The sequence below is a fragment of the Homo sapiens genome, chromosome 12 (assembly GCF_000001405.40).
Source record: "Homo sapiens chromosome 12, GRCh38.p14 Primary Assembly".
Lineage (NCBI taxonomy): Eukaryota > Metazoa > Chordata > Mammalia > Primates > Hominidae > Homo > Homo sapiens.
The window spans coordinates 92,416,452-92,443,132 of NC_000012.12; the positions used below are offsets into that span (position 1 = coordinate 92,416,452).

General features: G+C 39.4%; 2 long non-coding RNA genes across 4 annotated transcripts, besides 3 other annotated features; one reads left to right on the top strand and one right to left on the bottom strand.

The window, feature by feature from the left end:
- Window positions 1-3,634: 3,634 nt before the first annotated feature.
- Window positions 3,635-16,548, bottom strand: CLLU1-AS1 (CLLU1 antisense RNA 1). 2 transcript variants are annotated; one of them, NR_164161.1, is made up of 4 exons: window positions 11,644-11,697; window positions 6,096-6,185; window positions 4,548-4,722; window positions 3,635-4,009 (listed from the first exon to the last, which is right to left on the bottom strand). It is a non-coding gene; the product is annotated as a CLLU1 antisense RNA 1 (long non-coding RNA). The 2 variants fall into 2 exon arrangements; NR_144319.2 differs by lacking the exons at window positions 6,096-6,185; window positions 11,644-11,697 and adding an exon at window positions 16,459-16,548 and having other exon boundaries at window positions 4,563-4,722.
- Window positions 5,080-14,551, top strand: CLLU1 (chronic lymphocytic leukemia up-regulated 1). 2 transcript variants are annotated; one of them, NR_027932.1, is made up of 3 exons: window positions 5,080-5,384; window positions 8,927-9,483; window positions 12,583-14,551. It is a non-coding gene; the product is annotated as a chronic lymphocytic leukemia up-regulated 1 (long non-coding RNA). The 2 variants fall into 2 exon arrangements; NR_027933.1 differs by lacking the exon at window positions 8,927-9,483.
- Window positions 16,440-16,739: an enhancer, noted in NCBI's record as "active region_6734". NCBI's record gives its function as "activates an Ori minimal core promoter by ATAC-STARR-seq in GM12878 lymphoblastoid cells {active_cell/tissue: GM12878}" and the evidence as "EXISTENCE:reporter gene assay evidence [ECO:0000049][PMID:35858748]".
- Window positions 18,203-18,262: an enhancer, noted in NCBI's record as "active region_6735". NCBI's record gives its function as "activates an Ori minimal core promoter by ATAC-STARR-seq in GM12878 lymphoblastoid cells {active_cell/tissue: GM12878}" and the evidence as "EXISTENCE:reporter gene assay evidence [ECO:0000049][PMID:35858748]".
- Window positions 18,283-18,342: an enhancer, noted in NCBI's record as "active region_6736". NCBI's record gives its function as "activates an Ori minimal core promoter by ATAC-STARR-seq in GM12878 lymphoblastoid cells {active_cell/tissue: GM12878}" and the evidence as "EXISTENCE:reporter gene assay evidence [ECO:0000049][PMID:35858748]".

A 26,681-nucleotide genomic window follows, 5' to 3' on the forward strand; every position in this document is an offset into this window, starting at 1 on the left:
GCTTATCTCATAGGACCAACGGCCCAACATTCCTGAAGTCACTACCACACTTTGCACTTATCTCCATGTGGAAATAGATAGCCACTGTTGAATTCTGGTGAGAACGACACGTCTGAAATCTCTCAGCTTCACAACCCCTATTACAGCCCTCAGAGAATCTTCTCACATAGCGCCAAACAACAACTTTAGGAAGTGATGTTCCTAGAATGAATCAATTTCTAAAATTAAAAGTGAAAACAATGACAAGGAGAAGGGAGGGTCAGAGAGGAAAGGCTGATGTTACTAAAAGACAAAAGACAGTATAACCTCTTATGAGGATGGTCCAGACACTCAGGGAAATGCAGGAAGAAATAAAAGATAGGAGTTTGAACCACACTGTGATGGCTAACTTTATGTGTGGACCCGACCGATCTATGGGACACCCAGATAGCTTGTAAAGCACTATTTCTGGGTGCGTCAGTGAGGGTGTTTTTGGAAGAGATCAACACTTGAGTCAGTAGACTGAGTAAAGCAGATGGTCCTCACCAATGTGGGTGCACATTGTTTAATCTGTTGAGTGCCTGGATAGACAAAAAAGGCAAAAGAAGGGTGAATTCCCTTTCTCGTCTTAAGCTGGGACAGCCATCCTTTCCTACCCTCAGACATGAGAGGTTTGGATTCTTGGATCTTTGGTCCCAAGGGCTGACACTGGTGGCCACCTCTGGTTTCAGGTCTTTGGCCCCAGATTGTAAGTTACACCATCAGCTTCCTTGGTTCTTGGGCCTTGAGACTCAAGCTAAAATACACTACCAGCTTCCCTTGTTCTCTAGTGTAGGGACAGCAAATCATGAAACCTTCTGCCTCCATAATCATATAAGTCAATTCCCGTAATAAATCTGTGCTTATATATCTATAGCTTTCCTTTTGGTCTGTTTCTCCAAAGAACCTTAATGTACACACTATATGACCTAACCTGTAGTAATGATAACCTTATGCAGGTTTGAATAAGATGATGGTATTCTCAGTATCTGGGAGGTATGGGCTAGAGTGATGAACCACCGCCATGAGCCTAGGACTGAGGAGATTTCTGAAATGTGGAATATTTGGTGTCAAAACCAAGAGATAATATAGCCATGTGGAAAACATGTAGAACTATCGTATGATTCAGCAACCCAACCACTGGGAATTTACCCAAAGGAAAGGAAACCAGTATATTAAAGAGAATCTGCACTCCCATGGTTATTGCAGCATTATTCTCAATAGCCTAGATATGGACTCAACCTAGGAGATTAGATGAATGGACAAAGAAAATGTGGCATATGTACACCATGAAATACTTACCAGCTATAAAAAAGAATTAGCCAAAGCAGTGGTGTGTGCCTGTCATCCCAGCTCCTTGGGAGGCTGAGGTGGGAAGATCTCGAGGCCAGAAGTTTGAGACCAGCCTGGGCAAAATAATAAGACTCGGTCTCTAAAACAATTTAAAAATAGGCCTTCCTTAAAAAAAGAATAAAATCATGTCATTCACGGCAACATAGATGGGACTGGAGGATATTACTGTTAAGTGAAATTAGCCAGGAACAGCAAGTTAAACCCCACATATTCTGATTCATATGCGGAAGCTAAAAAAACGTTGATCTCATAGAAGTAAAAAGTAGAACAGAGGATGCTGGAGACTAGAAAAGGTAGGGAGAAGGAAGGGAGAGGGAAAAATTTGTTAACAGGTACAAAAACAAAATTACAGTTAGTTAGGGAGAATTAATTCCAGCATCCTGTAGCACTATAGGATGACTATAGTTAATAATAATACTTTAATTAGTCTCAAATAGCTAGAAGGAGGATATTGAATGTTCCCAACACACACAAAAAAATGATAATGTATGAGATGATGGATATGGTAGTTATCCTGATCTGATCACTCTACATTATATGTATCAACACATCACTATGTACCCCACAAATATGTAGAATTTTTATTTGTCCATTTAAAAAAGATAACAAATTTAAAAATAAAATAAAAACTAAATTAGTGTTCCATGTAAACCTGGATGAACTGGTCACCCTACGTCTGCCCATCTAGATGGCTGGTCAAAGTTTCCCAGGCTCCACATCAAGTTGTTCCACTGCTCACTGGAACTTCCCTAGTCAGGTTGGGCAAATAGTAATTTACAGCAATAGTGAATTTATCACTGACATTTCTTCAGTTCCCCTCTTTGGCATCTGCTTCTTCTTTTCTGTAATGCTGTTTGTTGAAATGCCCAACATTCTTTTTCTTCCCTAGAGCTATTCAGGGTGACCTTTCTTTTCGCATTTTCCCATGCCACTTCCATTATATCAAAATAAAACAGTCCTGTGTGGCCACTGCTCATGACCTTGTTTCCTGCCATGTGAAGATAGGATCGGCTGCTCTTTCTTCTCCTCCTTTTTTTTCAGAGACAGGATCTCTCCCTGTCACCCAGACTGGAGTGCAATGGCACAGTCGTAGCTTGCTGCAGCCTCGAACTCCTGGACCTCCTCAGCCTCCTGAGTAGCTGGGACTACAGGTGCACACCACCATGCCTTCCTAATCTGATATATATATATATATATATTATATATATAAAATATATATATAAATATATATATTTTATATATTATATATATAATATATATATTTTATATATAAAATATATATATTATATATATATATTATATATAAAATATATATATTATATATATATATATATATTATAGAGATGGGGTCTTGCTCTGTCACCCAGGCTGAAGATCAGCTGCTCTTTCTAATCTGTGGTTAGATAAGATCTGTCTCCCAGGGGATAAAATACTACCTGGAATAAAGGTATCTTTAAAATAATCCCAGAGAAGAAAACATTTTTATAGTATGACAGAGGCAGAGAAAACAGAGAATATTTGTTAAGGCAGGACTTTCACCACTCCCAGTACAATCATCTGTCTGTTACCTGCATACCTTACACGGGCTGGCACTGCTGGGGGTACAAAGTAGATGCCAAACTTCACAATGGTTAGATTCATGTTTAAAAAGCCATTGGATCAAACCTTTGTGAAAGTTTCCAGCTTTTTTCTGTTCCAAATATGTGTCCATTATAAAAGAATCTCAAGAGCATAATTGCCAAGATAGTCTATGTCCATGAGTATTTCAACATCTCTCATGAAATCTGTTCCCATCATTACTCAAGATATTGTATGAACAGTATTCCACATAAACTAGGTGCTCAATAATGATTGATTGGCCAATGGAGGGTCATTATTTAATGCACTACAATCTTTTATGCAAGGGGCCCACAGGAATCAGTATGATCCCATAGGAATCCTTTTCTTTTCCATTGAAAAAGAAACAGATAGTGGCTTGTATTAGGTTTCTTGTGTGTGTTGTGAGGTGGAAAGATATGAAAAGAAATTTGATCAGAGCATAAATCTGAGCCCATGGGATAGGAAAGAATGAGGGAATAAGGAAGAAAACACAGATTATAGACAGGAAAATCAAACCTATTAAAACTGATAATTTTCGAATACTAAAAATGTACATTCATTTGAACAAAAAGATTCTATAAAGCAAGATTTCTCTGTTCTTACCAGCACTACCATGCCCAAACTACCTTAGGAAATGAATAGCAGAGTCAAACTTAAAAGCACCTGAAATTTAAAACAAAAACCAATTTACATTTTATTTAAGAAAAGCAAACAGATGGGCCTGCTAACAATGTCAAAGTCTCGTTTACAAAGAAAAAAACAAATCTGGAACCTGAAGTCAAACGAGTTCAAAATAAAAAGCAAACCAATAAACAGAAACCAACATAAACAGAAGTTACTACCATCTCCCTCAGCCTGTGAAATTCTGGAACTTCTCTTTCTTTCTCGCCTTCTTCTTCTCTCACCTGGAAGACGAGCAGAGTGAACACATCAGGGGTTGTCAGTTCCCCAGATGGCACCACATTCATAAACCACCGACTCCAGGAGAATGTAGGAAGCTTAGTTAAGGCCAAAGTTCTCTTTGGATCTTCCTCATGGGCTTCAAGGCAAAAGAAAAAAAAGTTTGCTTGAGAATATCTTCATATCTATTAGTTTGAACCATGCAAAATTACAGTTTTTATAGGTAAAATGAGTGCATATTGGCAATTTCAAATGATTAACCCTAATACATTATGCTTTTGGGTATAGAAATATTCAGATCTTAAACATATGCTGTTACATACAAAATCAGGTATATTCCTGCTTCTATAATTAAAGCAAAGAGAATTTCTTTTGGTCACTACTCCTTCTGACATGAGGTATGAACCAAGTTCAGGACCCCTAAAGGTCTGGGTCTGGGTCATTTCTCCACCTCTAACTTGTGCCGCTTTCTTGGTCAGTCATTGTGTTCTGAGCTGTCTCATAAAACATCTGCTATGACTTTACTTTCTCCTGATAGGGTGGCTTTCCATCGTTGGCACTTCGTTGGCCTTATTGGTATGCTTTATACACTGGTTCTCGTTTCCAAATTGGCATTATTATTGTTATGATTCCTGCTGCTCTCCCACATTTCCCATCTTTCTCCTGATCTCTCTCACCTGTACATTTCTTACATTTTCTCCTGTGCTTCCTTCTTCCCATCATCATTGCCCAAGTGTGTCTTCTTTCTTCTCCTTGTCACATTTCCTTTGCCCGCTCTCACATATGCAGAGATGGCTCTTGGTTTTCCTTCTGAAATCTCATAGTTTGGAGGTAAACTTGTTAGCAAGGCCACTGAGAAGAGAACAAAAGGGAAACATAAGAGAAACCAAGTCACTATCTCTCTCATTTCCTGGTTTCTAGAAGTAAGACCCAAAGAACTCACTGTTTCAGTGCTTTCAGCTCAGGCCAAACTAGGGTGATCAAACTGAGCTTCTGAGTGCTGATCAAAACCTATAAAACCAAGTAGACAGACCATCTACAAATCTTCACTGTTAAATACCATAAAGAATGAAAAGGTCACTAATTGGTAAGACTATATGTGTGATAATTAAATTTATGCATCAACCTGGCTAGGCTAAAGGATGACCAGGTAGCTGGTAAAACATTATTCTGGGTGTGTCCATAAGAGTGTTTTCGGAAGAGATCAGCATTTGAATTGGTGAACTTAGTAAAGCAGACGGCTCTCACCAATAAGGGCAGGCATCATCCAATCTGTCGAAAGCTTGAATAAAACAAAAAGAGGAAGGGAAAATTTGCTTCTTTTCTTCTTGATCTAGTATATCATCTTCTCCTGCCCTTGGATGTGAGTGGGCCTTCAGACTTAAACCAGGAGTTACACCTTTGGCTTCCCTGGTTCTCAGTTCTTTGGACTTGGACTGAATTACACTGCCAGGTTTCCTGGTTCTCCAGCTTGCAGATGGCAGATCATGGGACTTCTTGGCCTCCATAATTGTGTGAGTCAATTTCCATTTTATTTACATATCCAGTTATGCATTGCTTAACAATGGAGACAGGTTCTGAGAAATGCATTGTTAAGTGATTTCATCATTGTGCAAACATCATAGAGTGTAACTACACAAACCTGGACAGCATAGACTACTACACATCTAGGCTACATGGTGTAGCTTGTAACCTCATGATAAGTATGTATAACATCATGATAAGTATGTATGTATCTACCATATCTAAATGTAGAAAAGGTACAGTAAAAATATGGTATAATCTTATGGGATCACCATCATATATGCAATCCTTTGTAGACTGAAATGTCATTGTGTAGTGCATGACTGTATACGCACACATACACAAACACACACAAATATACTATTGGTTCTTTTTCTCTGAAGAGCCCTAATACAATATGTTATACATTTATATTGACTCTATTTCAAAATTTATGGTTTTGGTGAAACATATGTGGAGATGGGGCATAGGTGTGTGAACTGGGATAGTGTCCTGCTGATGAATGGGTGGGAGGCATCATTTGGGACAAGCCCAGGGCATCAGCTTATAGATATCAAGAGCTCAACAAGAGCACTTTATGGCAAAACCTCCCACAAGACCTCTCAGAAGTTGAGAAACTGCTAAAAGTTTCTTTATGACAGATGACATTTATGGATAAAATAGGGATTAGCAGGATTCTTTAAATACTTTCGAACACTAACCTTCATTTCTACCAGGCAGTGGGGCCCCAAGTGCAGGGCCATAGGAAGTACAAGTCTGGGAGATACTAGGCTGCACTGTCTGTAGAGAATCTGAAAAAATAATAGAGTCACTGAAATGCAGTTTGGTATAATTATTGCCATGCATCATAATTCTAAATCATACTAGTGGTCAAATACTCTTCCCTGAAAAAACATTTTCTTGGTTTGAATTCTAAATAATTGTTGTGGTCACCACTGAGCTTTTAAATATATAAATACTTTCAAGTTTGCATATTTTTATTACCTGTTCCTTAACAAACATTGAATTCAACATGAAAATGATTATGGGAAACATTCGGGTATACAGTCCCTGACTCTTAAGGACTCAGGTAAATACTTAGGGTATTTCATGGCCCTAGTCTTTGGGGTACCACATGTTTCTTCTTCAAATCACAGATTCAAAATCAAGAATGATAACACAGTGATTGTGTAGACAAAATAAGTGAACCAAAATTGCTTGCTTCTGTCATTCTATGGAACCACTGAGAGTTTTTACTTGTGCTTAAAATTTTGAATAGTAAAACAGAGTGTCAACTTCATGCTGGAATATTTTTGGCTTTTTAGACACAATTTTAAGTACATGAAGTATTTTTACAAGACTAAGTAACATCACTGAAATTACAGCTTTCTTCTTTTTAAAACTGGTATTTGTTATAAAACTAAAGAGCGAATCAAGAAAAGCATAATTATTACTGATTATTACAGGATTATTACTGAAAAAGAAATGTACGGAATAGAGGAGGAAGGAGTTAACAAATGATCCACTCTGGGTGTTGAAAACACCAATAAGCCTGCTTCCAGGAAGTGCCTAAGACAGAGCTGGCTCAGCTTGCTGGGTCACAGCATGTAAGGAAACTGCTGGGCTACATGCCACCATCCTCAGTTGTCCAGATAGATAATCCCATAGCCCCATGGGGAAATAATCTTTAATTATGATATAGCTGACACCATTCAAAGCACTATGCTAAGTCCTTTATGTGAATTAACTTTTGTCAAATTTATTTTTCATAAATAACCCAAATATGTATACCACTATTATCCTACCTTAAAGAGGAGAAACTGAGCTCCTAAAGTTTAAATATCTAACCCAAGTTAAGACTGCTAGTCACCCTAGGCTATTAACTCAGGCAGTCTAACTCAGGTATAATAACATTATGCTACTGTTTGCAGCTTTGACTATGCCTGAATTATAACGTCATGCTATCTAACTAAAAAGCTAAGGGAAATAAAATGAGCCATAGGGCTCAATTTCATAAAAGGAGAGAAAATACTGGGGAAAAGTGATAATGCAGAGTTTAAAATATTTTTGTAAAAGTGCCAGAGATTGAGTATAACAAGTGTGACCAAAAAAAAAAAAAAAAAAAAAAAAGGAAGAAGGTAAAAAAAAGAGGGAGGTCTGAGAAATAGAAATATCAGAGGAAGGAAATAAAGGAGGGTGAGAGTAAATTCTCTTTTAGCATTCAGATTCCACAGATTCCACAAATCACATTTCTTTTTTTACCAACTAAGGAAAAATAACACTTGACCTAACATTTCATTGCAGTTAGCTAAAGGATGCTAGAAAAACTATGTTGCAGTGGTTTGCTCTAATTTCTTCAGGAATAGAGAAAAGTGACAAAAAGATCAGAGAAGAGAAGAAAGGAAACTATCAGAAAAATACAGAATTGGAGTAGGATATAACATATTTGGGTTGAAGGTAAAATTTTATATTGTAATCTTAAGTATCTTGCTACTTCAGTTTGGTCCCTGGAACAGCAGCATCAGAATCTGCCGAGGGCTTGTTAAAAAGGCAGAATCTCAGGTCCCATCCCAGACTCACTGAATCAGAATATAAATACTGACAAGATGCCCCGGGATTCATATGCACAGTAGAGCTGGCGAAGTTCCATTGTAGCCTGTGATTGTTTTCTGCAACTTAGTATTTCTGAGTTTTCCCAAGGAAGAAAACCCAGGCCTTAGCTTCTGGCAGACTTGTGTTTCTCCTTTACTTACTAGCTGCATGACTCATGAGCAAGGAAATCAAACTTTATGTGCCTGAGTTTCCTCATCTATAAAATGGAGACTATAATAATCATCTCCTAGGCTTGTTTTGAGGATGTTCAACAAATGCTCCTTTCATTCCTCTATTTACAGACCTGCCGCAGACAATTCTGCTAGCAGCCTTTGTGCTATTATCTGTTTTCTAAACTTAGTAATTGAGTGTGATCTGGAGACTAACTCTGAAATAAATAAGCTGATTATTTATTTATTTTCTCAAAACAACAGAATACGATTTAGCAAATTACTTCTTAAGATATTATTTTACATTTCTATATTCTCCTACCCTGAGTTGATGTGTGAGCAATATGTCACTTTCATAAAGCCAGGTATACATTATGGACAGGTAAGTAAAAAACATATTATTTATTCTACGTTTTTGTCCAAAAATTTTAAATTTCAACTGTTGCGCGTGTGTTGGTAATGTAAAACAAACTCAGTACAGTAGTATTCAGTACAGTATTTAAGCCCCTGTACTTAAACATATTCCTCGTACCAATGAAGTTACATGAAAAGCAAATTTGTGTGAGATATCGTAGATGGAAGTAAATTAGTCTTTATGTTCCCCACAAATTGAAATGCATTTCAAAAACTCTGTGTGTGTATGTGTGTGTGTGACAGAGTGTGTGTGAGAGAGAGACAGAGAGATACGCTTTGGTTGCCTCCATAAGCTGGCTGCTATGATTAATAAGACCAAGTTTTCTAAAGAAAATGAGATCATAACAAAAGCCCTCTTTATGACTATCTTTTATCAGGGGCAAAAAGGAAAGAGACAAAACAGCATGAAATGATGAGACCAAGTGATGAAAATTCATTCACAATGATTGCTTTCAAGAGTAATTTCTCTTGGGTAATTCAGCAGCCTGTTACTATGGCTCTCTGGAGTGATAGCTAATGTAAATGAAGCCTCTAAAAGTGGATTATCCTGACAAGAATATACTCAGCCAATAATGCAACAGAAATCCATTCAAAGCATTCGGGAAAAATTCAAAAGAATAAATATTCTTTTTTTTTTTTTAAAGTTAATGACCTACGATCCATTTCTTCCCTGACTAACAAGCAGCAAGCACTTAAAAATATCCAGCCAGGATGAAATAGAAACCCACCTGACTTGTTAATATTTTTGTTTGGTCCCAGGGACTCAGATTCTAAGCCAAATTCTTTGAATGATCTTGGCAAATGTCTCGAATTATTTTTGCCAACTTTTCTTTATCTTGGAAAAAAAGTTTCATGAATGGGTGTCAAAATTGATTAGTTTTAAAAACCTTTCTTGCAGATACGTATGGCACCCTAAAACTGTATTAGAAAAAAAGTAAGTACTCTGTAGTGTGAAAAATTCTTAAAGGACACCCTCTTTTACAAACTCACAAAAACAGCCTTTGGAATACCCACATGAAGTAGCTGTTGTTATTGCTTTCTATATACCTACATCTTGTCTATTATAAAAAGACTGGTTTTTGGCAGGTGTGGTGGCTCACACCTGTAATTCCAGCACTTTGGGAGGCCAAGGCGGGCGGATCACCTGAGATCAGGAGTTCAGGACCAGCCTGATCAATATGGTGAAACCCAGTCTTTACTGAAAATACAAAAATCACCCGGGTGTGGTGACGGGCGCCTGTAGTCCCAGCTACTCGGGTAGCTGAGGCAGGAGAATCACTTGAACTCAGGAGTCAGAGGTTGCAGTGAGCTGAGATCATGCCACTGCACTCCAGCCTGGGTGACAGAGCAAGACTCCATCTCAAAAAAAAAAAAAAAAAAGACTGGTTTTTCAACAGCTATTCCCACCCCTCTGCATGGAAATATTCACCCAGTCAATTGTTTTCCTAGTTTGGGTAATGGCCCTCTGGGCAGGACTGGAGTGGGGCACACAGGAGAAGCTGCAAACTATGTTTAGAAGCATGTCTGGGAAATGTCATGCAAGAAAAGACATATTTAAAGGTAGGCTTTGCATGAATGGAAAAGGAGAGTAATTCTATGTAGAGCAGAGCCTCTTACTTGCAGTGAGAGAAGCAAAAGTGGGGAAGCAAGAGGAATTATGCTTTTCATCAGCCAAATTTGCAGGTAGGAGGATTGGCTCAGTCATCTTGGCTGAGGCTCATGAAACCAGGTGTAAAGAAAGTGGACTAGATTAATTTCATCCATTACAGGAAGAGGAGCCGTGAAAGATAATCCAGAAATCATTGGGATTTGATGGTAGAAGGTATTTTGGGACTATTCCATTTGAAATGAGAAGGTACCTGACATTCTTTGAATTCCTTTCAAGCAAAGGATTAAATTTACCCATGAGTTGACTCAGAAAAAACATAAAAAGTATTGTTGCTCTGCTCAGAGTTTTATCTAACTCATTCTCACTTCTTATTCCATGATGAAATGACATAAATGAGGTTTTTTATTGTTGTTGTTGTTGTTTTCTGGACACAAGGCAAGGTAGCTACCTGGGCAGAGCTGTTTTATTTCTCTATGCCGTGGAGAGAAATTGGTTAATTGGCCATGGAAGGCAGTCATTAAGATGTTCCCATGCGAGTGAACTTTCCAGGGTTCCCAGCTTCTGCATCCTTCCCTGTCCCTCAATTCCATTGTTGGTGATGACAATGTCTCTCCCATCAGCCTCATGAAGTTCTCTCTCATTTATTAAAATTTGCTTTCAGGAAAAATTTTGAAAATGTGTCCAGTAATGCCTGATTGGCCCCTTATCCTAAAGGCTTAAACTGGAGGAAGGAAGCTAAACTGAGAAATCTTGCAAATCATTGAGCCAAAAACGTATTAATAGCAAGATCTATCATTTATTGACTAGTATGTGGCAGGCAGTGCCCTTTTATTTAGGCAGGGAGAGTTGATGGGGGGGGCGGGGTTCACACATCTTAAAGAGGTGCTATCTCCTCCTATATAAATCATGTAAGTCAAGAGAGTAAGGAATTGTCTTTGTTTGGTTATATTCAGGGGATTAGAGTATACAGTAGAAGATCCCAAGAAACCTTGGGATCATTTTAGACTAAGAAATGCCAATACCGCCGGGCGCGGTGGCTCACGCCTGTAATCCCAGCACTTTGAGAGGCCGAGGTGGGCGGATCACAAGGTCAGGAGATTGAGACCGTCCTGGCTAACGTGGTGAAACCCTGTCTCTACTAAAAATACAAAAAATTAGCCGGGCGTGGTGGCGGGCGCCTGTAGTCCCAGCTACTCGGGAGGCGGAGGCAGGAGAATGGTGTGAACTCAGGAGGCGGAGCTTGCAGTCAGCCGAGATTGCCCCAATGCACTCCAGCCTGGGCGACAGAACGAGACTCCGTCTCAGAACAAAACAAAAGGAAATGCCAATACCAGCAGAAATAGAGCCAAATCATGAACATAAGCTAAACAAATGTTGGCAGTGTAGCCTAGTGGTTAAGAGAGCAGACTCTTAACTAGAACACTGCACTCCATGTCCTCACTGTAGACCCTCACTGTGGGGTTCTAATTAACCCCTGTTACTTACCAGTGGCAGTCTTAAGGCATTCCTTAAGTTCGTTGTGCCCCAATTTGTTCATCTGTAGAAGGGGTAGGATGACAGTAGTGTTTACTTTATAGGCTTACTGTGAGCATTAAATGAGTTACTACTGTATTTGTAAAGTGCTTAAAATGCTGCTCCAAAAGAGTTTGTTAAACACTTAAGAACTGATTTACTTGCATCTAAACTGACAGCTCTCAATAACTGGAAATGATCAAGCATAGGCCCTGGAATATAAGCAGGTCTACATGAAGGCAAAAATGTTCGTTTCTTTTGTTCAGCCCTGTGCCTAGATCAATATCTAGTGATCATGCTCAAGAAATATTGTTGAATGAATCAATGAACCTACCGAGGTAGTTACATAAAAGAGTTCTGCATGAGTACAAATCTGGGCAAAGTGACCTCCAAGGAAATTTCCACTTTTAGATTCTGTGATTTCCTTAAGGAACTGATAAATTGGTGTGATACAATGTAAAAAAATGTGCCTATATGATTTGAGAAAAACTTATTTTCTCTCCCTCTTTTTTCCTTCCTTCCTTCCTCCCTCCCTTCCTTCCTTCCTCCCTCCCTTCCTTCCTCCCTCCCTCCCTTCCTTCCTTCTCTTTCTTCTTTTCTTTCTTTCTTTCTTTCTTTCTTTCTTTCTTTCTTTCTTTCTTTCTTTCTTCTCTTCTCTTTCCTTTCTTTCTTCCTTTCTTTGTGCCTTTCTTTCTTTCTTTCTTTCTTCTCTGTCCTTTCTTTCTTCCTTTCTTTCTTTCTGCCTTTCTTTCTCTTTGTTTTTCTTTCTTTCCTTCTTTTTTCCTTTAAGCAGACCATGTCTGTTAGATGAATGCCTTTTTCTAGTTAAAAGGTTAAACAGGAAAGTGAAGCACAATTATCAAGGGTCTCCAGTCATCTCCACATGTTCTTAATCATTATCTTCTTTTACAGTTTCATATCTCCAGGCCTTTCATTGGGTCAGGTTGGCATTTCGCTGCCCTTTATGTGTGTGACAAGTGAAAATAAGGAAAGAAAAAAACTCAAGTGAAGAAAATCAGAATCTGCGCAGCAGTTCCTGGGCGTTTCAGCTGCTTCCCACATCACCTGCCTCATCAAGCCCCAGCATCCATCTCCTTGCTCATCTTACACCCTGTGTGCATGACAGGCCCACCATTCATTTATCAGAGCAAAGGCTCTCCCACTATTCTGGTTCACCCCCCTACTTAGCCAGATATACAAGAATATCTGCACGGATGACCTGCCTCACCTGGGAGCTCAGAGGAGCTCAGATTCCATTACTATCGCACCAAGGACAGATCTCCCAGCAAGAATGACAGAAAAGACTAACTGCCCCCAAAATCTCCCTTCCAAAACACAGTTCTCTTAATTCTCCCAAGAAACCAGAATGTGACTGCTCACCTCTCTAAGGACCTGAAAACAACTGGCCATTTCAGCTATTTAAATCAACTTTAAAAAATCCAACCGCCAAAATATTAAACCATTTTGGTTGGAATGATAACATAACTAACCTGCTGACAGCTGCTTCTGCTAGGTGCAAAAATGGAAAAAAAAATACTTCTAATCAGGTCAAATCACTCTACCTTTGGGATTCTAAATTTACTCATATTCTCAAAGAAATATATTCAGTCATAGTGGGGAAAATAGGATTATTCCTTTAGCTCGATAAGCAACCAGAAGTTCTTCCTTCAAATCTTGACATTTAATCAATCAGAAATTGATTTTTGGAAAACTGTTTCCTATGAAGCTATCTCTGCCTGAAGGATTTTTCTTTTACAATCCAGACTATAGAAGGAAATTCACAACCTGGACTTTCACCTCCATTGGTCAGAGTTTTACTGACCAATTCCCACCTCTGCCTTACACCTAACGGAAGTTTATGCCTGTTTTCTCTTCACATACCCCAACAGTTACAAATGGTTGTTATTATTAAGCATCTTTTATTTTGTGGCCTCTGATTACATGGTCCCCTAAATTTTGACCTAATCACAAAAGATTGGTAAAATTTCTTAACATATTAATAATATTTTGTTTATGTGTCAATATCTTAGCATGTATCAATTAAGACAGAGGTCTTAACGTTCTCTTTTTGAAAGAGAATATTAGGATTCAGAGATATTAAGAGATTCTCCCAGGATCACAGTTAGGTAACAGAGCTGGATTTTAGTCCAGGTCTGTCTACAGCTCTAACGTATATACACCCTTTGTATAACATGTCACGAATTCAGCATAAAGGGATCTTCAGTGATCTAAGTCAGGGGTCAGCAACCTTTTCTAAAAAGGACCAAATAGTAATATTTCAGGCTTTGTGGACCCTATGGTCTCTATCATAACTGTTCAAATCACCATGTAGTGTAAAAGGAGCCATAAGCAAAATATAAACTAACGAATGTGGCTGTTTTATGGGATTTTTTTTTAACTCTTTATTTACAAAAGCAGGTGGCAGATCAGAACTCACTTATGGGCCATAGTTCTCTGACCCCTGACCTGAGAAAATCTTATATTTATGGACAACATTTAGACTGTGACTTGCCAAGTAAGAACAAGAAGCTCTGTCAACTGAAGGTCAAGGCTGGAGTTCTGAAAGCAAAGAGCTGTCTGGTGTTAATGATAAGTGAAATAGTTAAAGTTAGAAGATCCCAGTTATAAGAAGCACAAAGAATAATGACCATAGACTCCTGAACAAGAATGTCTGGACTTCTGGCTTAGGCACTCTTGTTGTATGGTCCAGGCCAAGTTACCTAATCTCTCCAGGCCTCCATTTTCTTATCATTAAATGAAGATAATAAAAGTATTTTCCTCAGAGAGCTGTAAGAATAAACTGAGCTAACCCATGTCAAGCACATAGAATAGGGCCCAGCCTATATTAATTTATCAATAAATGCCAGCTACATATTAGTTCTCTATATTTTTATTCATTATCATAAAATGTTTATCTACAGATTGGCATTGTAAGGATGGAGTTAAAATTGTATGTATGTGAAGGGAAATTATTCCTGTTACTATTGATCTGCATCACATTACCCCAAATTTGATGGCTTAAAGTAACAACATTCATTTTGCAAACAAATTTGAAATTTGAGGAGGGCTTGTCTGGGAAGACTTGTCTCTGCCCTATGTGGTATCAGCAGGGGGAGGCTTGACGGACTGGCACATGCCCTTCCAGAATGGCCCACTCGCATGCCTGCCAAGTTGGTGCTGGCTCTTGGCTGGGAGCTCAGCTGGGGCTGAGTGCTAGGGTCCCTGGGAGGTTCCTTGTGGCCTGAACTTCCTCACCACAAGGCGGCTGCGGTGCGAGAGTGAGCATTTCAAGATAGAGCCAAGATGACACTGTATTACTGTGTAAGACCCAGCCTGGGAATTAATGTAGCCTCACTTCCATCCCACTCTATTTTTAAAAAGTGAATTATTAAGGTCACCCCATATTCAAGGGGATAGGAATTAGACTTCATCTGTATTAAGAAAAATGTTTTTAAAAATTGTAGACATGTTTTAAAATTCTAAAGTCCACTTACTGGCTGCAGATTATTTATATATACATGCAAGATACACTCCTACATTCTCTTCTTAGAAGGCTCAGTTGCAGGTACAGATGAAGCTCTTCAAGTGAGATTTCTTATGTATTTATCCTCTCAATCTGAAGACTTGTAAACTAAGAGACAAGTTATTTGCAACCTACATACGCAATATTCAATGGTAAAGTATACATAGGACAGCCACTACAGACACTCTTGTTTTAAATAGAGGAAAATGAGAGCACATAACAGTCATTGGCTCATAGCAACTCTGATATCCAGACAGCAAACACAAGCAGGTCTTTTTTTAGGTCTCAGTCCTACTGCCTGGATTCCCTACTGCTCTTGGGTCTTCCCTCCAGGTTCTTGGTTCTTGGACCTCTTTTCATTTAATACTATTTCTGTTCCTTTAAGTTCAAGCTGGCAAAATATGATTGTACAATTCTGTTTAAAATTCCAGGACTTCCTGTGATTCTTATTGGGGAATACTCCATTAGACAAGAATCTCTTTGACATAAGCCATTCTCTACCTGAGATCCCTGTAAGGCTGTGATGGGACCACATAACCTTAAAATTATTAGAAGACTCATTGTTTACTGAGAGAATATGCCTAGCATATGCTTAGATCCTTAGAGGAACTCTGTTTCAAAGGGCTTATGAGACATTACCTTATATCTTTCTAAGGTACAAACAAAAGGTCTTTGGCTTTTGAGTTTGATCTTTGAGCTGACACCTTTTCTTAATTTGAGAATCCCCTGCTCTATGGAGAGACTGACAAAGAGAAATAGTTTTATATTTGAATGTAACATCTTGGATCTTTAATAGATTATCTTAAAATTTTCCTGAAAATGTAACAGTTCCTTTTTTTAAAATTCATTCTCCCTACACACTTATTATATATGACTAAAAGAAACTCCCTGGCATTTTCAACATTCTGGTTAGAATTTTTCTTAGCCCAATCTACCAGTTTATTAGGTATATTTGTATTTTCCACGTCACTGTAGGTGACAATCTTGCTAAACTTTCTGCCACTACATAACAAGGATCCCTTTCTCCAGTTTTCAGTAACAATCTACCAATAGCCTCCTCAAGGTCTACCAAGCTTCTACTAAAAATCTCTTTCAGCCCCTTCCAACTTCTGCCCACCAACTAGTCCCAGAAGCAATACCCATGTTTTAGGTTTCATTATAGCAGCATCTAGTTTCGAGTTCTCAGAACCTGTTTCGATCATGTTTCACTGTTTCCAAAACATCCCAAAACAGTAGCTTAAGACAGTAACACTTATTTTGCTCACAGGCTGTACGGGAAGCATGGCTGGAGAGGTCTCAGGAAATATACAATCATGGTGGAAGGCAAAGAGGAAGGAGGTATGTCTTACATGGCCAGAGCAGGAGAAAGAGAAGGGGAAGGTGCCACACACTTTTTAGAAACCCAGATCTCATGAGAACTTACTCACTATCATGAGAACAGCAAAGAAGAAATCTGTCTCCATGATCCAATCACCTCCCACCAGGCCCCTCCTCCCACACTGGGGATTACAATTCGACATGAGATTTGGGCAGGGACACAAATCCAAACCATAACAGTTGGCAACCCTTTTTTAAAGAAAGTAATGACATCAACTCCTTGGGGATGTGGATTGGGGGAGAATATTGGAGAGGATCCAGGGGAAGTGAAGATATCAAGTTCTTTATACATAAATAGATCTATCTTTTTAGGGAAGTAGAATATGTCATTTAGGATAGGGAAAGTTGAAGATGTTACTCTATTCAGCTTTAGGGAAACTCCAAGATGTAACACTATGTCCTGTGAATATTAGTCTTGTGGAAAGTGCTCCATTGGAAGAAGACAGAAAATGTCCTGCTGCACAGAGATCCATATCTTCATGCCACGTCTTGCAAATGCAGTCAGGGAGCTTGCTCTAAATTCGTGTTGCCTTTTAGGAAGTTACAGAGCATATTTCTTTATATCTTCTTTATTTTTGCCCTTGATAGGAGACTGCCAGGGATTCAGTTATTATAATTTTACATTTATTTATCCTTTTCTGGGAGCATCTCATACCTTTTTTACTAGAGAGGCCAAGGTCACAATTAAGATTAGGGAGACAATACAGAGTCAAGACACCTGAATTTTGCCACACTACTCTTGGGCCACTTTAATTGGTGTTTCTGGGCCTCATTTTTATTACTATTATTATTAATTATTTTATGGTGTGTATAGGAGCTGGAAGATAGTGACTTCTATTAGAATTTATTCTTATAAACAATGCTGTATGGCTCTTGGATTAAGAAGTAAATAGAAAACAAAAAGGGTCTTTGAACTGCTGTCTCTTCTAGGTCTTCTCAGAGTGCTACTGGGAATTAGATGGGATTAGATGGGTGAATTTCCTTTTTCTTTTGTTTGAGAGGTCTAGATTTTTGAAGTATCTAAACCATCTTTAGATCTAAGTTAATCTCCAAAAAGCTTTATTGCCTGAAACATTCCAGTTCTAGGAAGTTTGCATTTCTCTGAGTGTAAGGGTCTGGTCTGTAACTCCTTGAGATCAGGAATGTGTCTTTTTATCCCCATAGTTCAGCGCCTACCCTAGTGTCTTCCCTACAAGTGATCATTGAATGAAGAAAGGAATAAATTCCTTCTTCTCTAACATACATCAGAGACCTCTGACCCTTATTGGGTCCCCCTTCCCTATTGATATACCTCTCCATCTCCAGACATCCACATGGCCTCCTAGGGGTATGGGATTCTTCACTCTTCTCCTGGTACAAGCTCCTTGCCTGAAATTTTTCTGACCCACCCCCATTTCTAACCGTCACAGGTTTAGATTTTCTGAAGCAAACATACAGACAGAGTTCGAGTTACAAGACATTTAATAGGAATCGACTCTTGTGAAAGGAAGAGGGGAAGATGTGGGACTGGGCTCAGTGAGAAGCCAAGCTGTGACACAATGAAAACCTCAGCCCACCCTGCACAGAGCTCAGGAATGAGTGTCACGTGTTAGAGCTGACCTGGGTCAGGTCAACATTGCTGGGTGTTTCTGCTTCTGCCTCGTTCAGTTGTCAGATGCAAGCTGACCTGGGAAGGGTTTGACTGGGCAAGATGGCTGTCTGCAGATGAGGTCAATCAGAAGGGGCTGACAGCCAAAAGTGGTTTGCTCATCTCACTACCCACAGCTGGGTGGCAAGTCCTTCAAGAGGGAGCTGGATGATGCTTCTCCACCTCTACCACACCAAACAAAGCATTTCTTTCTTATTCTTTTTCTTCCTGTCTCCCTTCCCCCTCCCCCCTCTCCCCTTTTCTCCTCCTCCTCCTCCTCCTCCTTCTTCTTCTTCTTCCTCTTTTTTCTCCTTCCTCTTTCTTTAGAGACAGGGTCTTGCTTGGTTGCCCAGGCTGGAGTGCAGTGGCAAGGTCATAGCTCACTGCAGCCTCAACCTCCTGTGTTTAAGCAATCCTCTCACCTTGGCCTCCCAAGTAGCTGGGACTACAGGCATGTGCTATCATGCCCGACTAATTTTTTAATTTTTACTAGAGACAGTCTCACTATGTTGCCTGGGCTGGAGCATTTCTATTCATGGGTTTTGTTCCTCTGGAGCTGTGCTGTTCTCTTTGATAACATGAATATGGATTTGTATTTACCCCCTTCTGGCCATCTTAACTAATGGCCCAAAGGAAGGCCAGTGGTGAAGATGTTTCTCTACAGGGAAGTTTCTAAGTGTTTCTCAGCCTACATGTGTGAGTGTATTAATGGGAATACTGGGGATAATTGGATAGAATGTATGAAATTAGGATTGGCCTAAACTATCTGGTCCAAAGTTTATCCTAGTGGCCCTAATAACATCTCCAGTGATGGTCTTTCCTGAGGTTATAGAATGAGCTATAGGAAAGAGTGATAGTACAGGAATGAGAGGATTGGATCGTCTTTTCTCTTTGTTCTATTCCTCTATGATTATTTGATTTCTTTTTTTTGTGATGGAGTCTCACTCTGTCGATTATTTGATTTTTGTTTCAGATTAAGGCCAGCTTTCTTTGACTGAGCAGACCCACGTATATGGGAAACGGCCACACACCAAATTAAACCATTCACTGACACCCGGGCACACCCATTTTCACCACTCTGCTCTTGCCCGTGCCATTGCCTTTGCATCCAAGGGATTCTTCCTTCTGTGGCAATCTGTATGACATCCTTACTAAGAAGGCCTCCCTCAGTGCCCTTGGCCCTCTCACAGCCCTTTCCATGGCCTTCTCCACTAGACTGTGAGGAACCCAGTGTCTGGAACAGTTCATGGCATTGTTGTTAGTGTTGTCATTTTGTTGTTAAGCCTTCTGCTGTCAGTGGTCATTTCATATGTTTGCATATTTACGCCCTGCCTCTTTTTGGTATGCAGTGTGGACCCTATTGCACGGCTACTTGTGTTTCAGTGGCTTTGTCCTATTCCACCTTCTATGCCACTTACTCTGAATGCCTGGCACATTGGTAGGTGCCCAATACCAACTTGGAAAGTGAATGAATTTGTTTTCTCATTACCTTTTGAAATGCCTATACAGATGTTCCTCCACTTATGATGGAGTTCATTCTGAAAAGCTCATGATAAGTAGAAGATATTATGTCAGAAATGTATTTTATTGTATTTTTTATTTTTTAATCTTTCTTTCTCTTTCTTTCTTTCTTTCATTCATTCATTCTTTCTTTCTTTCTTTTTCTTTCTTTCCTTTCATCTTTCTTTTAGTAGAGACAATGTCTCACTATATTGCCTAGGCTGGTCTTGAACTCTTGGGCTAAAAGCAATTCTCCTGCCTTGCTCTGCCAAAGGGCTGAGATTACAGGCATCAACTACTGCACCTAGTTGAAAAATGCATTTAATGCTCCAATAAACCCATCATAAAGTCAAACCATCAGCAGTCAGTGACTATCTGTATACCTTAGGACTAAGTTAGAAGTTGGAGATGGTAAAGTTTCTAAATTAGTACAAGCACAGGAGCTCTTATTCCTGCCATTTTATGAAAGTCATGTGAGTATTGGTGACCATCACTAATGGGGCTGGTAGAAACTTTAGGACCAGTCTGTCTTAGTCAGCTGGGCTGCTACAATAAAAAACCATGGACTGAGTGGGTTAAACAATGGACATTTACTTCTCACAGTTCTGGAAGATGGGAAGTCCAAGATCAAGAAGCCAACATGGCTGGATTCTGATGAGGGCTTTTTCTGGAATGCAGATGATCACCTTCTTGCCTTGTCCTCATGTGGAAGAGAGAGCAAACTCTCTAGTCTCTCTTTCTTTTCTTAAAGGACAATAATCCCATTATGGAGGCCTCATGCTCATGACCTCATCTAAACCTAGTTACTTCTTAAAGGCTCCAACTCCAAATACCATCACACTGAAGGTTAGGGTTTCCACATATAAACTTCGGAGGGACACAAACATTCGGTTCATAACAAGTGCATTCTACAGGACTCCAGGGAGTGTGTTGGCTACCCTTCATCCCACACAGCTGCAACAATCCTAATCCACTGATATCAAGTCACCATATATTTGAAATTCACTCAGTTCCCAAGAAAATATCTGCTTTCATAATCATTTCTCAGCTAAGGAATGAAAGCTATGATAAGAAAGTCTAGCACTTAGTGGGAAACAAACTTGAATTAGGCCAGGACCCCTTAAATATTGTCACTATGAAATCCAAGGGCAGTATTTACATGCTTTTCCTTCATGATGACCTTAGATTTCGCTTCTTTATGCTGCAATCAACTGAAAACATTCCACTGTTGGTAATCCTTTATCTTCTAACAAATCTAATTTAGTAGATCTTGTTACTCCTTATTTTTGAAAATATTAAACTAAACAATAAGTGATCTTTCAGGGAAATTCTGCAAGGGAAGTGGCTTCTAGAGAATGCCTCTTCTCCAAAAGGCCTAGTTCTATTTCTGATATCTAATCAGTTCTGCTCCCTTTAAATAATTACTGAAACTAGTTTATTGTTTAAATGACCTCATTTGAAAGTGGGACTTTCCCCTTTGCCTTCTTCCCTTTTAATTTCTGTTTTTAATTAATGTAAGTGCAGTCAGAACTGACGGTGTCAACCTTTCCTGTAACTGTGATTGCCACTTGTGGACATTCTGTACTCATAAGAGTGATTCTCACAAGTTCTTTAAGTTTTTTGGAAGTGCAAACCCAACAGGAAGAAAGAATAGGACTCCCTGCATTCTATTTTGCTCTGCAGTGAAGATGCATTGTTGAGTAATTTGCTTTACATTCAGATATACCCAGATTCCCATCTTCCCAATCCATGTGACTTGGCTAAGTTACAACTCTTTATAAGCCTCAATGCCTGCAACTGAATAAGAAAGTGGTAACCATCTCATGGGGCATTGGGTAAATGAGATAATACTTATGAAGTATGCAGCACACAGCCAAGAGCGTAACGTGTTCAATCAATGATATCCATTATTATTACATGTCAAATCACATCTGACTTCTGTGATTCTACTGGGGAAAAGGATGCAAAATCCTCTTGCCGTTGGGGTGTCAAATATTTTAGTACTTATTTCCAAATTCATTGGAGGGGTCTTTCCCTGAAGTTTACAGATGTGGAATACACCATTCAGGCAGGCTTTCTTCAGTAGTGCAGGTCATTTCAGGGGTTCTCCACATTCTAGAATAATTTTTTTTTTTACCCACTACAGACACATTTACTGGCAAGGCCCATGATAACAAAATGAAATTAATACAGGCTTTACAGTCAGAGACCTAGGCGACCTTGGGTAATTCATTAATATCTCTGAGCCTCTATTTCCTCAGCTTTGAAAGAGGCATAAGAATTGCTCTGAAGAATAATCATGAGTATAAAATAAGATAAATGAGATAACTATGTAATATGCATTAGTTTAGCACCAAGCCATATACAAAGGCACAATAAAGAGAATCTAATATGTTTCCTTTATTCCCACTGCTATGAACTGAATGTGTGTGTCCCCCGCCCACCGCAAATTCATATGATGAAGCCCTAATCCACATTGTAAAGGTATTTGGAGGTGGGGCATTTGTGAGGGAACTAGGTTTAAATGAACTCATGAAGGTGGAGCCCCCATGCTGAGATCAATGCCCTTATTTAACAAAAATCAGAAACAACAACAACACAAAGGAAGACAGCATGAAATCTCTCTCTCTTTCTCTTTTCCCCTCTCCCTCTGCCTTCATCCCCATCGCCATGCACCCGCAAAAGAAAGGCCATGTGAGGACATAACCAGAGCCCTCCCAAGACCCTGACCCTGCTGGCGCTCTGATCTCAGACTTCCAGCCTCCAGGACCATGAAAAATAAATGTTGGTTGTTCAAGCCACCCAGTCTATGGTATTTCAGTGTAGCAGTTTGAACTGAGATACCTATTAACAGATGTTCCTTTCCTTCTTCTCCCTCATTTTTATGGCACATTACCAGTGTTTGGTACTAAATACTAGCTGTTAATTCTCCCTTAGTAGAAGACAATAGAGTAATGCTGAGTTGGTCTCAGCTGTGGGAAACCTTTTGCCCAGAGAGAAAAATTAAGTCTCCTAACAGAAAGCTGGCACTTTCCCTTACTGGGCATCAGCGAAAACCTGATTCCCATGGGTAAAGTGAGTAATTGCTAAAGGGAAACAGATCATGTGCATTTACATAGTCAGAGATGTTTTATGGGATTAGGTGGGTGATGAAGAGTAATCATTATAATAATTTTACAACCCAGACATAAAAGAGAAAGAGCAGAGAAAGACCAGTTCTCTTGTGAAATATTTGCCATTTAATATCTTTTTATCTTTGGGCAAGCCAACTTATTTTCTTACAAATAAGCAGTAACTAGACACAGATATTTAAGAGGAGAAATGGACCTTAGATGTTCTGTGGCATAATTTTCCTTTCACATAGGGGAAAACCAGGACCAGAGCAGCGGATGAAGATGCCAAGATCAGGCACTGCCAATTGTTTTGACTACCTCTAGGGAGATCCTCTCATGACTCACACATTGCCTCTCTCTTGAAAATGAGTAAAGAGTTGCCCAACCAAATTCTTGAAATAAGGTCAGTTATAAATGCCTATAGCAGCTACCTTCTTTTTTATTATTTAGAAAATGATCATTGGAACTTGTTATCAGAAGACACAGGCTGAGAGGGAAGGGATGTATTTTTTCACATGTCAAGGAACCAGGGGTAATATAACATTCACATTCTAGAGAAAGGTCAAATAATAAATTGCCATAAAATACAGACTGCTCATGAGCTGTTTTGAAATCTTGGCTTCTTGTCAAAAAACTAAAGGTGGAGGAGAGTAAAATCCATAACTGTGTGCTTTTTGTGTAGGTGTGTTGGACTGAATGTACATATGATTGGATCATAGAGATGATCAAAGAAGTGTATACTATTCCTCAACAGAAGAGGACAAAAAACGAAATTGACATTTGTTGACATTTCCTTGGCCTTAGAAGTGTTTGTAAATGACAGAGTTAGGATTTGAACCCAGTTCCAGCGAGTTTAAAGCCCAGGTTATTTCCCAATAAGCCAAAGAAATTTCCAATGCCAACCTATTCCTGGCATCTTTAGCAGCAAGAGTGATTATAGTTTCCACAGACAGAAATTGTGTACAGAGTTGGGTGAAAGAACAGTAGCTCCAACATGCTTGGCATCAAGGCTGTGACTGCACGAACTATTCCAGGAAAACTAGTCATCACAGGTGATTGAAAAGAGAAGATATCTTTTAGCAGACTAAAATCTGCAGGCATCTTCATCACTCCTTAATGCAGACAGACAAAACTGATTGGCTAGACTAATAAGATCAGACTTTGTTTTGGAAACTAAATGTCTATTAAGACACGCGAGAAGACAAGATTTCCTAAACATAGACTATGAATAGACTATGAATAGTCAAGAGGGAGGTCGAGGAAAAGGGAATTCCCCTTAACATGGCAGATCAAATATTTAAATTTTAATGACATATTAGATGGAATATAAGAAGTTTTTGTGTTATGAAATAAAAAGAACTCATTCTTTTAAAAAATGGCAATCCAATATTTATACACGTTCTTCTATCTTATAGCATGACTGAATTCGAAGTGTTCTTGTTCATGTCTCCTTCTCTGAGAAAGAGTAAGTGCCTCCACAAACACATTCACTGGGAGTCCAGAAGTGGAGAGTATCGTGTTTTCACTGTTCAAGGTCACGTAGTGGTTCCTGGCCCAAACAAGTAGGAGCTTTCTAAAATTAAAGGCAACTATCCATAAAGGTTCCTTCATCTGCTGTCTCCTAGTCCATTGGCAGGACTTGGCAGGGAAAGCCCTCTTCTTGATAGAGATATTGGACCTCCAACCTATCTCTTCATCTTCTCCCATACATCTCCTCCATACAGGGTTGTCAGGTCAGTAATCCCTACTGGCCATTTAGAAGGTGACATTTATCAATTATAATTAGGTGACTTAGGAGGCTTACTCAACTCCCCAGAATCTCAGTGTCCTCATCTGTGAAACTGGAAATAATAAAGCCTATTTCATAAACCTAATTCTTCATATTAAATGGGATAACATATATAAAGCACTTAGCACATGCTATGACCCCAGAAGATACAGATTCACAGAGCAGATGGAGCACTGCTGTGTCTCATGATACTCAAGCTTGAATATCAAGCTTGACTCCCATTCTGCTAATTCTCCCTCTGGCTACTAGGACATCTTGACTTTCAGGGTCTGGACTCTGGGCCTTAAGGGAAAGCTAAGACTCGTCCTTGTATTTCTACTTTATGTAGGTAGAAGCTGATCTGCATTAGGGCTGGTTGCTCCCTTCTCCCCATCTCAAGCCCCAGAATCTCTTCTTGTATTAATCTCTCTCCCAAAGTTCTTGCTGAGGTCAGATTTCATAGTCCTGCTTTTTCAGCACCTGTTCTTAATTAGTTCAAACTTTTGCAGGTTTTCTTTCAGGCCATATTTTATTTGTTTCCTCAGAAACTCCTCTTAGACTACATCCTTTATCTCCAGACACCTGGGATCCACATTGATTCTTTTATTTTCCACAATTTCTAACCCTGAACAGCTGCATGAATGTAAGCAAGCTTCTAAGCATAGATGGGTGGGTGGTTGGGATGTGTACACGTTATTCATTCATTCAGTCATACATTTATTATTTATAAACTACTTATTGAACACTTCCTAGTGCTTGGAATTTTTTTAAAAATCTCAAGCGATATGCATATCAATACAAAATAATTTCAGTTCTCAAGAAACTTAATCTTGGGAAGGATAAACAAAGACTTATAATACAATATGGTGCAAGATTTACAATAAAGCAGTGGTTCTCAGCATTGGCTGAATAATAGAACCACCTGGCTATATTATATAGTGATGCTTGACTCCAACTCAGACCAATGAAATCAAAATCCCTGTGAGTAAGACCTGGGCATTGCTATGTTTTGATAGCTTTCCAGGTGATTCCATTCTGCAGGGAGGTTTGAGAATCCCTTGGATAGAGGGAAGTATGGGCTGCCTTGGGACCACAATTAAGAGGTCCCTACTCTAATTGGTAAGGTGCTAAAGGCTGCAAAGGGAAGATGACATCTGAGCTAAGTCTTTTTTTTTTTTTTTTTTTTTTTTTTTTGAGACAGAGTCTCGCTCTGTCACCCAGGCTGAAGTGTAGTGGCATAATCTCGGCTCACTGCAACCTCCGCCTCCTGGGTTCAAGCAATTCTCCTGCCTCAGCTGCCCCAGTAGCTGGGATAACATGCACCCGCCACTATGCTTGGCTAATGTTTTGTATTTTTAGTAGAGATGGGGTTTCACCATGTTGACCAGGCTGGCTCAAACTCCTGACCTCAAGTAATCTACCCACCTTGGCCTCCCAAAGTGCTGGGATTACAGGCATGAGCCACCACACCCGGCCCTGAGCTAAGTCTTGACAAATGAGTTGCCCAAGTGAAGATGTGGGAAAGCCATTTCAAGGGCAGAGGAACAAGATGAGTTCATAGAACTGCCTGTAATTTTGGGTACAGTTTAGAGAGTGCTAAATGCTAAAGCATTTAGCCTGTCTCTGGCAGGCAAAAGGAGAGTCATTGAAGGATTGTTAAAAAGGAAATAATATGGTCAGTATTATATACATCTGAAGTACCAAGACATCAGTTGGGGAGCAAATTTTACTTTCATTGCATCTTGCCCCAGCAGAACTATCTCCCTTTAATAAGACCTTTAAAACTGTTGGCACCTCCCTGGCTTCAAACATTAGAAACAGGAAACTCTACCCATGAGCTAACCTTCACCCCATCCTTTCCTGAAACAAAGAACATCTGTTCTCCCACTTGGATGTGCCTGGAGTAAAGAGGGGCGCCTAAGTATTCTCAGTTGACTACAGAGAAATGATTGGCGTCACGTAGATTAGTCATACATACATGCAGATGATGACATAGTCAAATGTATTGAGACATTTTAGTTCCAAAAAGTAAGTGTTTTGTTTCTGATACAGTGCTGTCACCCTTGGCCAGGGAAACCCAGGGATCATAGCTGCTACAGATAA